The sequence below is a fragment of the Homo sapiens genome, chromosome 19 (genome assembly GCF_000001405.40).
Source record: "Homo sapiens chromosome 19, GRCh38.p14 Primary Assembly".
Taxonomy (NCBI): domain Eukaryota; kingdom Metazoa; phylum Chordata; class Mammalia; order Primates; family Hominidae; genus Homo; species Homo sapiens.
In genome coordinates, this window is record NC_000019.10 from 43,214,305 (window position 1) to 43,230,705 (window position 16,401).

The window sequence follows — 16,401 nt, forward strand, 5'->3', positions numbered from 1 at the left end:
GTGATTCCAATGTGAAGCTATATTTCCCATCAGATTTCTCTGATTTCTTGTGGCATTCACTTTTTTTCTATTTTGGTATTATAATTATTTTTCTGGTCTTATCATCTATCTTAGGCTTTATGTTCCTTGGGGTAGAAACCTTGCCTTCTTCATTTCTGTATCGTTCATGAACATATGAGTTGGTCATCAGGAAAAGGTTCTCAATCACATGTAGGTTGTGTTCTGAGTCTCAGGTTTACACATTAATGCTGGAGTCATTTTCCTCTGGGAGGTCAGAGGTTGCTTTTGATGAAGGGTATGGGTAAGCCCATAATGCAGATGGTAGATGGGAGATCACACTGTTTTTAGCCACGGCATTGGAACTAAGCATTCTATGTGTATATCAGGTGGAAGGGAAGGGATGTGTAGACAGACAGATTTAATTAGAATGGAGGAATTACACTAGGGAATAGAGGTAATGGAAACAGTAAAAATTAGTAAAGAGAAGAAATGTGAACTTATCAAATAGGCAAGAGTCGATCTCTGAAGATTTTTGAATAGGGGAGTTAACTAGAATTTAGGAAGGTAACAAGGCAGTCACACACAAGGAAGATTTCAAAGACTGGAGGTAAGTCAAACAGTACCTCTAGCAGTTATTGAGGTTGTGGGAATGGAGAGAATGACACAAGTGAGAGATGTTAAAAAAAAGGATCAAGAAGGTTTTATAAGATATTGAATCTGGGAAACAAATTAGCAGAGGTTGAGGATAATCATTTGTAGGAGACAGTGGGGTACAGGGAGCATGAAGAACAGGGGAGAAGAGACCTGCAGGAATAAATGCTGAGAAGCAGGAGTTTAGTGGGAGGAGGAGGAGATCCAGTCCCAAATACTGGCAAAGAAGTCCTTTCCCTCTCCCAAGCAAGGCAGTCAGCCCTGCAGGAAACAGGACAAAAGGAAAGGCCATCATACCTTCCAGTCTTCCTGAAATAAACTACACCAGGGCTGGTAGATCAGAGCCACACTGGCCAGTACTCCAATCAGGATGCCGACAGTGGCTCTACCTGAAAGGCCAGGAGTACTTCTTGTACTGAAGTATCTGTCATGGAAAGAAAAGAAGAGAAGGAATAAAGGTGATGTTATTTTACAGTGTGCTACCTTAGGAACCATCACTAAGTATGAGGTAGTTTCTACTTGTTCCTTCAGGGATTAATTTTGTGGGAGGGTTGCTGGTAGATGATTAGCCAACTATATTCTTGCAGTTTTTTTATCTCTCAATGTGTTTCTAGGTTAGTGATCAGTCTTCTGTCAATTTCATCCTGACCATGCTGCACTCAGACATTTTTGAAGGTATCATAAAGATGTGAGAAAGGCTGACTGCTATTTTCTGTGTCATTAGAACTTTCTACCCTTTCGTGGTTGCATCTTTTTCTCAGTGTGTCAGTTGTGGTAGGCATGAATAAGACTGTCAGTTCTCCATGGCAGCTTGTGTTTCTCAAAAGGATTACTGAGTTCTTGGTGGAGCCCATTAATGAATAGGGCCCAGAAAGTATAGGCTTATGTATGTTGAAAAATTTCCCTAGGTAATCCCAATACTCCCAGCTAATAGTTGATTAATTAATAATCAATTGACTTGATTGACAGAAGGCCCAGATCAGTGCATTCCAAATTGACAACCTACTTTGCATAGAGTCCTCACTTTCCTGAAGCTCCCAGCAGGGATATGAAAGCAAGCCCCGTTCTGCGAGATTCTGTTTTACTCTCTTGGGTGACTGGTGGGAGGACTCCCTGTCAGCCTTGCCATGCTCTCTTTGAACTGAAGCTAAATCTTCTTTCTCTTTCTCCCTCACAGGAGTCAGATTTGCATAGTGCTCTCAAGGCTCTCCCAGACTTTTTTCATGCCTGCCCCACTTTCCCTCACAGGCATTTTTCCTAATACATTATCCTGCATGTCTAATCTCATCTTGGATGCATCTCAGTGGGTATAAACTAACATACCAGGCTTGATTTTTTTGCACTTAGCTTTTTTCTCTCTCTCCCACATGTAGCCAGTAACTGTGTCCTAGTGTTTTATGTGTTACCTGTTTTTTCTTGTGTATAGGAAAAATATATATATTTCCATATACTTATTTATATATAATATATAATAACAAAATATATAATAATATAAAATGTATAATAATGTAAAACATATACACATTTCCATATATGTATATGGAAAAAGAGGTAACACATAAAACACCAGGACATTTATATATAATAAAACTGACATATTTTATATGTGTATATATATATATAGTATATATATATATATATATGTGTATATATATATATATGTGTGTATATATATATGTGTGTATATATATATGTGTATATATATGTATATATATGTGTGTGTATATATATATGTGTGTATATATATGTGTGTGTGTATATATATATATGTGTGTGTATATATATATATATATATATATATATATATATATATATAGTGTCTGGTAGTCTTAACCTCTCTATAAATACACACTTTTTGTCACTGCCCCTTCCCTCCCATGCAGAGCTCCCATGGCCAAATCTCCTATTTCTCCAAGTGTGTGTCCCTCACTGTCCTCTGTGCTGTGTCCCATGTGCTGTGTCCACAGCCTCCTAGTGTTTTATGTGTTACCTCTTTTTCTATATATACATATGGAAAAAGCATATACATATTTATCTCTATATATTTATTTATATAAAATATATAATCTAAAAGTATATATATACAACCATTTAAAATATATACATATTTCCATATATATAAAAAAGGTTACACATAAAACACTAGGCCATTTATATGTAAAATTCACATATGTAATATAAATGCCAATTTTATCATATATAAATGATAAGTATATACACGATAGACTTATCATATATAAGGTGAATTTGGAATGCTCTGACCTGGGCCCTCTGTCAATCAAGTCCCTGCCATGGAGGCCACTCATTGCTGCCACAACTGAGACACCAAGAGAAAGATGCAACTATGAAATGGTGAAAAGTTCTAAAGTCATAGAAAATAGCAATCAGCCTTTCTCACATTCCAAATCCTTCAAAAATATCTGAGTGCAACATGTCCAGGATGGAATGAAAAACTTCAATCTTGAAAAGGAAAAAGGAAGCTGGAGGACTCACACTTTCAGATTTCAGCATCTACTGCAAAGCTACAGTAATCAATACAGTGTGGTACTGGCATAAAGGAGGACATAGTAACTAATGGCATAGAATAGAGAACCCAGAAAGAAAGCTTGCATATATGGCCAAATGATTTTTGTCAAGAGTGCCAAGACCATTCCATGGGGAAAGGACAGTCTTTTTAACATGTGATACCGGGAAAGCTGGCTATCCATGGACAAGTATGAGTTGAACCTTTACCTCACACCATATCCAAAAAAATGAACCCACAATGGATCAAAGACCTAAATGGAAGAGTGAAGACTACCAGACTCTTAGAAGAAAACATGAGGAAAAAGCTTCATGATATTGAATTTCAGAATGATTTATTAGTTATAACTACAAAAGCATAGGCAACAAAAAAGGGATAAATTGGACTTCATGAAAATTTAAAACTTTTATATATCAAAGGCCATTATCAAGAATGTAAAAAGGCAAACTATCACATAGGGAAAATATCTGAAAATCATATATCTCATAAGGGATTAATTTCCAGAATACATGAAGAACACTACAAACCAAAAACAGCAAAAATCCAAGAACCCAATAAAAAAATGGAGAAAAGACTAAAATAGAGATTTTATTAAAGAAGATATACAAATGGCCAATGAGGACATGCAAGGATTCTCAATATTAATACTTAGAGATATGCAAATCAAAACCACAGTGATACATGACCTCACACACATTAGGGTGGCTTTGATAAAAACAACATGAACAACAACATCAGAAAACAAATGTTTTCGAGTACGTGGGAAAATTGAAGCTCTTAGCGTATTACTGATGGCAATGGGAAATGTTATAGCCACTGTGGAAAAATGGCATGGCACGGCCAGCTCACGCCTGTAATCCCAGCACTTTGGGAGGCCAAGATGGGTGGATCTCTTGAGGTCAGGAGTTTCAGACCAGTCTGGCAAGCGTGGCAAAACCGCATCTCTACTAAAAATACAAAAATTAGCTGGGAATGGTGGCATGCACCTGTAATCCCAGCTACTCGGGAGGCTGAGGCATGAGAATCACTTGGACCTGGGAGGTGGAGGTTGCAGTCAGCCAAGATTGTGCCATTGCACTCCAGTCTGGGTGACAGAGCAAGACCCTGTCTCAATATCAACAACAACAGGAAAGAAAATGGTATGTCAGATTCTTAAAAAAATTAAAGAATTACCACTTGAACCAGCAATTCTACTTCCGGACATACAGCCAAAAGTATTGAAAAAAATTTGAACAGATATTTGTACACTGATGTTCACAGCAGCATCACTCACAATAGCCAATGGGTGGAAACAACCGAAAAGTCTATTGAAAGATAAGTGGGTGAACAAAAAGGTATATCCATGCTTTGGAATGTTCTTCAATCTTCAAGGGATAAAATTTTGACACATGGTGCAAAATGGATGAATCTTGAAGACATTATGCGAAGTGAAATAAGCCAGACACAAAAGGATAATTATTATATACTTCCATTTATGTAAGATAGTTAGAATAGTCAATTACATAGAGACAGAAATTAGAATGGTGATTACCAGGGGTTAAGGGGAGAAGGAATGAGAGTTATCATTTATTGGGTTCAGAGGTTTAGTATAGTAGGATAAAAAAAAGCACTGGAAATGGATAGTGTTGATAGTTACACAACACTAAATTTCACGCTTAGAAACAGTTAATGGTGAGTCTTAGATATATAGTGTCTAGTACTCTTACCCTCTCTATAAATACACACTTTTTGTCACTGTTCCTTCCCTGCCATAGAGAGCTTCTGTGAGTTAATCTCCCTATTTCTCCAAGTGTGTGTCACTCACTGTCCTCTGTGGTGTATTCCATGTGCTGCGTCCACAGACTCAGAGAGGCAGTGACTTCAGAGCCAGGACACAGCCCTATTCCCATTTTTTAAAGCCTTACTCATGGGAGGCTTGGCTTCTACTGGCAGCTCGATTTAGCCAGATTCAGAACCGGCCACCCAGGCACCTTATCCACATGCCCTGGCCCCAGCCCGGGTGGAGTCAGGGTAGGGTCAGTCACTGGGTGAGCCCACAGCAATGCAGGGAGCAGAGTCTGAGCTGCTTCTCCCTCACCCAAGGGGCTTCCTCCTCTCATTTGGGGAAAAGTGTGGGCTTGTTTTGAAGCCTCTGATGTTCATCACAGCTCATGGAGTACACACACACAAAGGAGACAGAAGGGATATTTTGGTGACAGAAACAGCTTGACCATGAGGACCCTCCTCTTTCTCCCTCCATGAAGGCCCTTATACTGCATAGTGCTTGGGGCTGATAAAGCCATTTCCCTACATTTCTCAGGCTGGACCCAAGGTCATCCACCAGAAATCCGGAAAACAAAGGGAAGAGAATCTGTAGATATGAATTGGGAGGGTTCAGGAGAAAAATTTGGATTTACTTTTGTGCATGGGACACAGGCTGAGAATAAAAATGTTTTCCTGGCTCTTTCTTGGAAAGCCAGATAGGCTTCACCTGAAAGCATATTGCCAATGCTCCAGCGATCCACTTACCAGGGACTGTGATTTTCTTGGTTGCGAAGTTTTTGCCATTAGTGACTGGGTTATGGACATAACACAGATAGTCCCCACTATTCTCTGTAGTGACTTGGGAGATAAAGACCTCTTGTCCTGTTTGCTGGTTATTCCCATTCAGCAGCCAAGAATGCTCTACTGATGGGTTAGAGCCCGCAAGGCAGGAGACATTGAGGTTTGACCCTGGATAGTAAAAGGTGTCTGAAGAATAAGTTGTGGGTTCATCTGGGCCATCTGGAGCAAAGAGAATAAAGTCACAGGTAATGTTATCAGAGGGAATGGGAAGCTCCTGGTCTGTGAAAGGGGCACAGTGTTCCTTTTTGCCAAGTCACAACCCCAAAGTCCCAGCCAAACTTCCTCTGTGTTCACTGAACTGGAGGAGTCAACGACATTCACCTGTTTCTCCCATCACAAGCTGTGGAACCAGAGTCTCCTAAGACCAGAGAAGCCCCTCCCTTCCTGGGCCTACCCAGGTTTGCCTGGGGCAGCAAGTCATGGCCAGCTTGGGGGTCTAGGGGTAAGTGTATTCATACTTGGACCTGAGAGGGACTGAGAGGCCTGGCCTCGTGTTATGTGGATTTGGGCTGGCAGCCTTGTCCATGAAGGAAAAGAGGATACTCACAGAGAACATCCAGGTGACTGGGTCACTGTGGCTGGTACTCACTACATTCTTCCTTTGACATTCAAAGAGTCCTGTGTCACTCCTTGTGACACTGAGTAGAGCAAGGATCCTGTTATCATTGGACATCTTTAGCCTGGGACTGAGTGTGAGTCTATGACTATTTACCCACCACATGTAGATTGTGCCATGAGTCTCAGGTTCACAGGTTAAGACCACAGCCTCCTCATCCTCCGCGGGGTTGCTGGTGACATAGGGCTTGGGCAGATTCACTGTGCAGATAACAGATAAGATTCCTCTGTGTGGCGCTGTGTCCGGAATTGGTGGGTTCTTGGTCTCACTGACTTCAAGAATGAAGCCGTGGACCCTCACAGTGAGTGTTACAGCTCTTAAGTTGACGCTTCTGGAGTTTGTTCCTTCTGATGTTTGGATGTGTTTGGAGTTTCTTCCTTCTGGTCGGTTCGTGGTCTTGCTGGTTCAGGAGTGAAGCTGCAGACCTTCGTGGTGAGTGTTACAGCTCTTAAGGCGGCGTGTCTGGAGTTGTTCATTCCTCCCAGTGGGCTTGTGGTCTCATGGTCTCGCTGGCTTCAGGAGTGAAGCTGCAGACCTTCACAGTGAGTGTTACAGCTCATAAAAGCAGTGTAGACCCAGAGTGAGCAGTAGCAAGATTTATTGCGAAGAGCAAAAGAACAAAGCTTCCACTATGTGGAAGGGGACCCCAGCAGGTTGCCACTGCTGGCTCAGGCAGCCTGCTTTTATTCTCTTATCTGGCCCCACCCACATCCTGCTGATTGGTAGAGCCGAGTGGTCTGTTTTGACAGGGTGCTGATTGGTGCATTTACAATCCCTGGAGCTAGACATAAAAGTTCTCCACCTCCCCACCGGATTAGATACAGAGTATCCACACAAAGGTTCTCCAAGTCCCCACCAGAGTAGCTAGATACAGAGTGTCCATTGGTGCATTCACCAACCCTGAGCTAGACACAGGGTGCTGATTGGTGTGTTTACAAACCTTGAGCTAGATAGAGTGCCCATTGGTGTATTTACAATCCCTGAGCCAGACATAAAAGTTCTCCAAGGCCCTAGCAGAGTAGCTAGATACAGAGTGTCGATTGGTGCATTCACAAACCCTGAGCTAGACTCAGGGTGCTGATTGGTGCGTTTACAAACCTTGAGGTAGACATAAAGGTTCTCCACATCCCCACCAGACTCAGGAGCCCAGCTGGCTTCACCCAGTGGATCCCACACTGGGGCTGCAGATGGAGTTGCCTGCCAGTCCCACGCCATGTGCCCGTGCTCCTCAGCCCTTGGGTGGTTGATGGGACTGGGTGCTGTGGAGCAGGAGGTGGCACTCCTCAGGGAGGCTCCCCCCGCACTGGAGGCTCGGGCCGCACATGGAGGGGGTGGGAGGCTCAGGCATGGCGGACTGCTGGTCCCGAGCCCTGCCCTGCCAGAAGGCAGCTAAGGCCCGGTGAGAAATCGAGCACAGCGCCGGTGGGCTGGCACTGCTGGGGGACCCAGTACACCCTCTGCAGCCGCTGGCTCGGGTGCTAAGCCCCTCATTGCCTGGGGCCAGCAGGGCCAGCCGGCTGCTCCGAGTGCGAGGCCTGCCAAGCCCACGCCCACCCGGAACTCCAGCTGGCCCGCAAGCGCCACGCGCAGCCCCGGTTCCGCTGGCGCCTCTCCCTCCACACCTCCCTGCAAGCTGAGGGAGCTGGCTCTGGCCTTGGCCAGCCCAGAAAGGGGCTCCCACAGTGCAGCGGTGGGCTGAAGAGCTCCTCAAGTGCTGCCAAAGTGGGAGCCCAGGCAGAGGAGGCACCGAGAGCGAGCGAGGGCTGTGAGGACTACCAGCATGCTGTGACCTCTCAGCACCACTGATTTCTCCATGAGCATTTTCCAATCACAGTTGACATCTCCCACCTCTCAGCCAATCCATGTCCTTAAAAGCCCACAGCAGGTCTGTGTACCAAAAGACAGATGGATGCATGATGATCTGAGGGCTCAGAGGCCATGGGGCCACCTGCTCTGTGTGGGAGATGCATAGACTTCTGAAGTGTGAATCGAGCAGCAATGTTGGTGAAGTGTGAATTGAGCAGGGTCAAACAATTAGAGTTTAATTAACTTTGTTTAAATTGGGCAGAGTACAAGTGAGGCAGCAGTGGCTCATGCATCTCCCCAAACGAAGGACCACACCTTATGACAATGTTGTTATTATGAATACACAGGTGTGTATGAAACAGGCAGTAAATCAGACAGCACCCACCTGGCCAGCTCCACCTGGTCCTAGGAACCACCAGTATTCCCATTATGTGTATGTTACAGCTTTTTAGGCTGCAAAATATAAAATACAACTTCAGAATATAAAATATGCTATTGTTGATACAAAATATTGAATATGAAGCTGAATATGTTGTTCCACTTTTTCTCACTCTTGTTAAACTTTGCTGTTTCAGTTTTGGAAGTTCCTATTGACACACACTTAAGCTAGAGATTCTTTCCTCAGCTGTGTGCAGCCTACGAGTAAGCCCATGGAGGGCATTCTTTATTTCTCTTAAAGTGTTTTTAATCTCTATTATTTCTTTTCCTTCTTTCTTAGAATAGCCATCTCTGTTTAAGTCACCCATCTATTCCTGAAAGGTGTCTCCTTTTTCCATCATAATCCTTAACCAGAGTTGTTTTAAATTTCCAGTCTGATAATTTCAACATCCCTACAACATCTGTGTCTGGTTCCAATCCTTGCTCTGTCTTTCAAACTGCATTATTATTTTTTTTTTTTTTTGCCATAGTCTGTCTTGTATTTTTTTGAAAACTACACATGATGTACTGGGTAAAAGGGACTTGAGTGAGCAGGCATTCAGTGACATGGTGGTGAGTGTGGCGAGGGAAGGGTTCTGTGGTTCTGGATGAGGTCTGTGTCCTGGGCTGTGAATGTCACAAGTGCCTCTCAGGTTTTTCTTTCCATTAGGTGGGATATGATGACTTGAGGAGGCTGGAGTTGGATATTTCCCCTCCCCCTGGCCAGTTAAGCTCCCATCAAACCCCAGCTAATTAGGCTGCAGTAAAATAGTTTCTCTTAAATTTAGGTCTTACCAAGAAGAATATAATTCACTGACAACTTTCCAAGTGTTTTTTTCCCTTCTTCCTACAAGAAGGATGCAGGGATTCTTGTTTGATATTGACTGTGAGAACCTGGTAGAGCTCCAGGAGCTAAAAGTCATAAAACTGTCCCCCTACTCCCAAGACTAATCCATCCACTGTTGTGTTTATCTCTGCGCTGTGTCCACACTGAGCCTCCAGAATTTCCTCAATTAGAGTTCAGGTTTTCTGACCCCAGCACTGGTTCCCACTGGGGTTTCTGTGCCTATGTTTCTGCTCAGGTACGGTGCACTGCTCTGTATTTGCCTGTGGGTCTCTCCAATATGTGGTCCAGTTAGCACTGAGAACTTGCTTCCTGAGAAATCTAAACGAGTTGTTGATTTTTCAGTTTGTTCAGCTTTTTACTTGTTGTTAGAACTGAGTGAAAATTTTTAAGCTACTTACATACCTGATGGAAATTCGAAGTCTCTAGGGCATGACTGGAGGATATGAGCGCCACAGCAGGTTGAGGATGGAGTCATGAGTGAAATGGGTGAAATGAGCCCGTGGGCTTTGGAAACTGCAGATCTGTCCTTCTGCCTCTGACCCCCTGGTGAGTCAATGTAGAAAGTGAAACCACCTTTGCAAAGCATATGATGATGAGAGAAAGCTAGCTTGGCTGACCCCATGTCACCCCTAGCCTCAGGCTGGCTGTCCTCTCTGATTCTTGGGCATAGGCCAGGGTAAGCATGGGAGGAATTTATAGTTTAACTTTGAAGCAACGGTGATAATAGTCCCTCCTGAAAATTAGCTCCCTCCTTGTCGGGGACTATCTTGGTAAGTCTAAGAAAAGACCATGAATTATGGAGGGGCCCAAATTCTGCTAAAATGCAGGCATAGTTTCTATAATCCCTTACTGCTCAGGAGTCATGTGTCCAGAGGTCACAAGATTTGTGAATTTCCTAGTTGCTCCTATAGATAGCAACACTATTGTAGAATCTGAGATTTATCTTTTCAGATGTTTCTCAGATTTTTGCATTCCAGCAACCTGCTGACCTCATCTAGACTCATGACCAATGGCTCAAACAGTCATGTGGCCCCCACTCAGAGGCAGATTCAACAAATACAGACCATTTCCCCTACCGGCATCATTTCATCTTTAGCCAGTCAACAGTACTTATTCCTTAGAACTTTGCCCCTCAAAGTTTTTGAAAAACTCTAACCTCTGAGCCATTGGGGAAGCTCATTTGAGTCATGATAAACTTCTATCCTCCTGTTTGGCAGCCTTGGGCTAAGTAAAACCATTGTTTACTGCACATCGCCTTCTCAATAAATTGGCTTTGCCTGTGCAGAGGGCAAGAACATGTCAGGTGATTATAAGAATGGATGGAGGAGCCACTGATCTCTTTCTGGTGGCCTGTTTCATGAGTCAGCCTCTCAGAGGGAAAAAGCCCTGGACTGGGACACAGTGGAAGCTCATTCTCCTGTTGACCCGGGGACATTGCCTTATTATGGAGCCTGGCAGGGGTGGCTGCTTTGGCTGATTTTGGTGCATTTTTCATTTACCAGAAGGCAGGACGGGCCTCAGTGTGAGCAGAAAGGAAATGGAACAGTCAGCTTTGTTAGAGAGGGTGTCTGGGGAAGTCCTCAGGGTGGAGGAAGCTGTGCAGGAAAGGGCTCATCAGATAGAATGAAAGCGGGATGCACTTTTTTCACTGAACACCTTTCAGACATCTCACCAACTCTGGCCTCACTGGGCTGTGCCTTTCCTCCTGAGCCCTGAGCCCTGATTCCTGGCAGGGAGGGAGAAAGAGAGGAAGGGTGAAGCTGGGATGTGTGCTGTCCAGGTTTCTTCCATCTCTGGAATCTTGACAGTGAGGGACCCTAATGTGTTACCTCAGAGGAGACCGTGGGAAAAAGCTGTTTCACAGGGGTGCCTGGCTTATGAAGTGAGGGAAATTCAGACCGAGTTGGACTCATGAACTACTGGGACCCTGTCCCATGTCAGCAAACAGCTTTTCTAGCTCAGCGTTTCTCTCTGTGGCTAACTCTTTTGTGTGATTTCTGAGCCCATGCTGGAGTCCTCCTCATGATGCCTGATGGTCAGACCTGTGTGGGGAGACCTAATGATGGGGTGGGGGTGGTCTTGAGTGTCACACAGAGTGTCCAGGGAACAGGCTTTGTGACTTTCTCTACCCCAGCCCCACAACAAGATCTGGATAGTGGGCTGGGTCAGATAAAGTCAGAATCCATGGGGAAGGGTATGTGTCCTGGCAGTGCCGAGGTTCGTGCCTCCAGGTTAGCTCTCAGTTTCTGCAAATACATTTATGTTGTGCATGTGCTGTTTCCTGGACTGTTTCATGTCCTTAAATCCTTGAACCTGTCTGCAGATAATGTCATGAGAGGTCTGCATGGAAGTATATAAGGGCTATCTGATTAGGGTGGGTGTGTTTTACATAGTGGGTTTTTTTTTTCACCAAACACTTTTCAAAAAATTGTGGTTGAGTGTATATATAGAAACACATACATACTTATATTCATTAGATGTGAGCATATATTCATATAAATTTAATATGTAGATACATATGTCTATAAATATACACATATATGTGTGTATGTATATGTGTATATATATGTATATGTGTATATGTGTGTGTGTGTGTATGTGTATATATATATATATATGTATATATATATATAGTGCCATTTTAACCACTTAAGGGGAGAGAGAGAGAGAAGAGAGTTTCTGCTAATACCAAATCTGGGTTAAATAAGGGTGGTCCTATTTCCTGGGGTTGGGCTTTTGCTACATGTGTCAATTCCTGTTGGAAGTGAGCTAGAGAGGTTACATGCTTAACCAATTTAGAGATTTTCTATATGAAAATCATCTGTGAGCACATTGATAAGTTCTATCCTTTCCTAGGTGAAAAGCTTGGTGTAGGATTTTAAGGACTTCCCATTGGCTGAAGGCTGGCAAATGGAGTTTGCCATCCTCTGACTACAGCCATTCTGAGGACTGGAAAGAATACCCTGAGAAGTGGCCTATTTTATTTCTGCAGGAAGGTACTGAGGTTTAATTTATCTTATGGAGTCTTCCTAGATTAGAAGGCTTTGAGGTGTGTTGATGCCTTGCCAGTGACTTAGCTGCCTGATCAGCGAACCTATTTCCTTTGGCTACTTCATCTGTTCCCTTTTTGATGTTCCCTATAATGTATCACTGCTACTTCACGTGGAAGAAAACTGAGGATAATAACCTGTTAATTTTTTGGTGATATTTCATAGGAAATCCATTGGTGGTAAGAAAATGCCTTTTATTTTAAATGGCAGCATGAGCATGAAGAACTCAAAAAGCATACTTGGAATCAGTGTAAATGTTAGCTACCTTTCCCTTGCTTAATTTAAGTGTTATTTTAATAACTATTTGTTTAGCTGATGGAGCATCTGCACCTGAAGAGAGATGTTATTTAGAGTGACTACTGCTTATCCTACCTTATGTATTTCTTGCTTTACCAGCTGATTGTTAGCTAAGAGCTCCCTCTAGAGGAAAGTAATTTTGCCACATTAAGTGGAGGTGTAAACCGTTTTTTCCTAGGGTTAATTTGGAGGCTTTTCTGATTAGTAGAGCTATTGTGACAGTGGTTTGGAAGCAGATGTAAAAAATAGGTCCTCCTAACTGCAAATAAGAGGTTGAGAAAAATATTGGATTAGAATTTTTCCTGAGACACCCCTTATGGTTGTGCTATGGGAAGAGGGGAGGCCTGGATAAGAAAGGAGAAAAGAGAGAGACTGGATCTAGTGTTTAGAAGGAGGTCTACTTTCCTTCCTATAATTTCCAGAATCACCTGTGTGTCCTGTGCTGTAATGGCAGTTTGAGCTGCTGGGGCCAGGGGTTTGAGCCCCAGGACCCATCAGTCCTGCTGGACCACTGTGAGACTGGTTCTGAACCCAGTGACCTCCATCTCTGGGAGCAGTTGCATCTCCAGCGGTCTCCACCACAGGCTGGACAGGGTCAAGGTGGCTTCCTCTTGCTGTTTGGACACTCCTTCCTCAAATGCCCTGGCTTGCCACACCGAGAGCAACTAGTGGATACACCTCTGGGATCCTGGACTTGCAACTCTGCAAAGCAGCTACTAGAGGCTTTGTCCTTCTCTTGAGCATTCTCTCTTTCTTCTGGGCCTTCTCCTAGTCCCTATTATAAAAGACTGAAGTGGCTACCCTTAGAAGGTTTTCCAAGGTGCTATCTGCTACTATAGCTTGCCTTTTATAGGTTCCTTCTAATATTGGGAGCTTTCTGTATAATAAAACTTATCTTTTGGAATGGGCTGTCACTTGACTGAATCAGGAGATAAAAAGGTGTGCACTAATAGTGCCCCTCTCAACCTATCCATAAAGGCTGCAGGATTCTCATCTGGCTTTGAGTCTATCATAGACAGTTTAGAAGAATTAAGAGGTCTGGCCTTAGTTTTTCTTTTCCATTGATCTGCAGAGCTATTGGGGTTTCAATCAGGGTTGTCAAGAGGTACTGCTTCACTTCTTATTTGGAGTGGTGTTTCTGCTATTTCTTCACTTTCTGTATCTCCTTCCTTCCCTTTTGGTGTATTATAGGAGATATGTTGCTCATCTCCAAAATTCTCTGCTGCTTGCAGAGCTGCCTGTTTTTCAGCTACAGTTAGGGTTTGGCTTAGGAGCAGCATAACATCCTTCCATGTGAGGCGAAACACCTGACTTAAATTCTGGAAAGCTTCTATATACCTATCAGGATTGTCTGAAAATTGGCCTAAGTCTTACTTTATTTGCCTAAGGTCCTGTAATGAGAAGGGAACTTGGAGGGACCCCAAATTATGGAGATTCTTCTCAGATGGTTCCCTTGGAAGTTGCTTTTCTAATATGAGGGGATTATTCTTTATAGGCCTTCCTGATATGGCTGTTAAAAAAATCTGGGTTGCTGTTACAATGCTTGTAAAGGTTTAGTAAAAATGCCCTGTCATTGTACAAAATAGAATGAGTTGCTTTTCTCTTGAAAGTCCTGAGGTTAAAAGAGTTCTAGTGCCTCAGAGTGCACTCCAGAGGGGTGCAAGCTGAAGATGCTCTGTTAGCCATCTAGAAAAAGAAGTGAGAATGAAAGTGTCCTTATAGTCCTCCTTCTTTCATTGTGACCCACAGTGGAGTGGAAGACAGTGGGAGCGTCCCCCCAAATGTTTTCTCTCCTTGGTTCCTGAGTCCTGGCACTGTCTTAAATGTGCCGCCCATGGTTGTAGGTGTGGCCCTGTAAGCCATGGAACTGGATAAATGAAGTGATGGGATTAGCCACACTTTACCCATGCAACCTTAGCTTATCTGCCTGTGATCTGCCTGGCTTCCTGAAAAATGGATCTCTGGAGAAACTGTAGCAGTTGCCTTTGAGCAAGCTTTCTTTAAGAGAGGGAATGTGCCAGTTGCCAGTTATGGCCCGTGCTAAAATATTTACCCTCAGAAAAGTGGTCCTGGTTAACTCTGTTCTTAAAATATCCTTACTAATTAAATACTGTTCTAATTGGAGATAGAATAAGTACCTTAAATGAACGTAGGGACCTAATGGCAGTTTTTCCTGCTGATGGGACAATATTGGAACTAAAATTTGGCTATGGAAGACATTTTACCTCTAACTGTTGAAAGCAGAGTTTTCCCATTCACAGAAAGGGCTTTTCTATCAGTGCAAAAAGAGACAATTGGAAAAGTGCAGTGTTATGGCAAAGGACCAACGATGTGCCTCATGAGGAGGATTTCTGTTTCCACTAGGTGACACTGTTGGCTTAGAAATACCATGTGCTTACCAAAGGAAGGAGAGAGAGACAGAGAGAGAGGGAGGTACCTATTGGGTTAGTTATTATAGCATGTACCGATCCTTCCTAACAGAAGTGTTTCCCTGAACTGTAAAAATTTCTACATATTGCATACACAGAAAGAATAGGAGACATAGAGACAATGGATAGAAAGGAAGAACAAATTTGCAACAGGATAGCAAATTAGGAGACCCATTACCAACATCTGGATGGGCTGTCGGAGGCTGTGTTCAGTCCAGAGGCCTTTGAATAACATCAGGGTGTGTCCTGGCCAGAAATTCTCAGCTGCTCCAGGACATCCCCCAGCCTCATGTGATGGTGAGGTTCTCCATGAAAGGAAACTAGTTGGAAGAGAACCTTGAAATTAAAGGACAGATTTGAGGTTTGCTCCATACTCACCATTCTGATGTTTCTATCTTCTCTTCTGATCACAATCCCAGATGAGAACTCCCAAATAAAATGGCTCTGTTTGGTAATCTATCCATTGTTCTTTGTCACACACTGAAAAAGAATTCAGGACATGGAAACACATGAGGAGTGGGTTTAGGAGTGAAAAATTTAACAGACAAAAAAGAAGAGAGAGAGAAAAAGCTTTCTCATATTGAGAAAACAGTCACCCAAGAGAAGGTCTCCAATTTGGGGTGGAATGTAATTGATTTTGTACAGAGACTTAAGGAGGCAGTGATTGATTTACATAGGGTCCAGGGGATTGTTTTGACCAGGTGTGCCGTTTAAATAGCCCGAGAAAAGACTGGCCCTCCCACCCTAATCTTTTATTATGCAAATGTGACTTCTACCTGGTGGTCACCATGACACCTGCACATGTGGTGACAAGGAAAAAAGGGCAGGAACCGCCATATTGGGAGTACCTGGCTCTTAGTTGCCTGCAGCTATATATGCATATCTGTGCTTGCAGCCTGATCATTCAGTCTGTTTTCTGTTAGAAATGGTTTGGGGGCTGCTTTTTATTAAAGGAAAATTCCACCAAGAATTCTTTTACCCTTTCTAGCTGCCTAAAAATAATTTCTCGATAACTCCTGTATTAGGACCCCTTTAGGAAAACAGAAAAGATGACACAGACTCTCCTGTAGGGGAGTAACCATAGTTTTTTTTCTCATGGAACCCCAAGAGTTGCAAGTGAACGGATTTCTCTCAGGTCTAAAACTCTGCTCTTTTCTCCA

The 16,401-nt window shown here is 43.2% G+C and overlaps 1 long non-coding RNA gene and 1 pseudogene across 1 annotated transcript in view; both read right to left on the reverse strand.

Annotated features, from left to right (window-relative positions):
- The window catches only part of LOC284344 (uncharacterized), a 36,856-nt gene that overhangs the window by 2,514 nt on the left and 17,941 nt on the right, over nt 1–16,401 (reverse strand). The window contains exons 4-8 of the long non-coding RNA NR_033888.1: nt 15,620–15,721; nt 9,868–10,008; nt 8,587–8,654; nt 5,684–5,938; nt 949–1,075 (exon numbers count right to left, since the gene is read on the reverse strand). This is a non-coding gene — a long non-coding RNA (uncharacterized LOC284344). The remainder of the gene's footprint in view (nt 1–948; nt 1,076–5,683; nt 5,939–8,586; nt 8,655–9,867; nt 10,009–15,619; nt 15,722–16,401) is intronic.
- On the reverse strand, nt 5,684–6,595 carry CEACAMP10 (CEA cell adhesion molecule pseudogene 10; annotated as a pseudogene).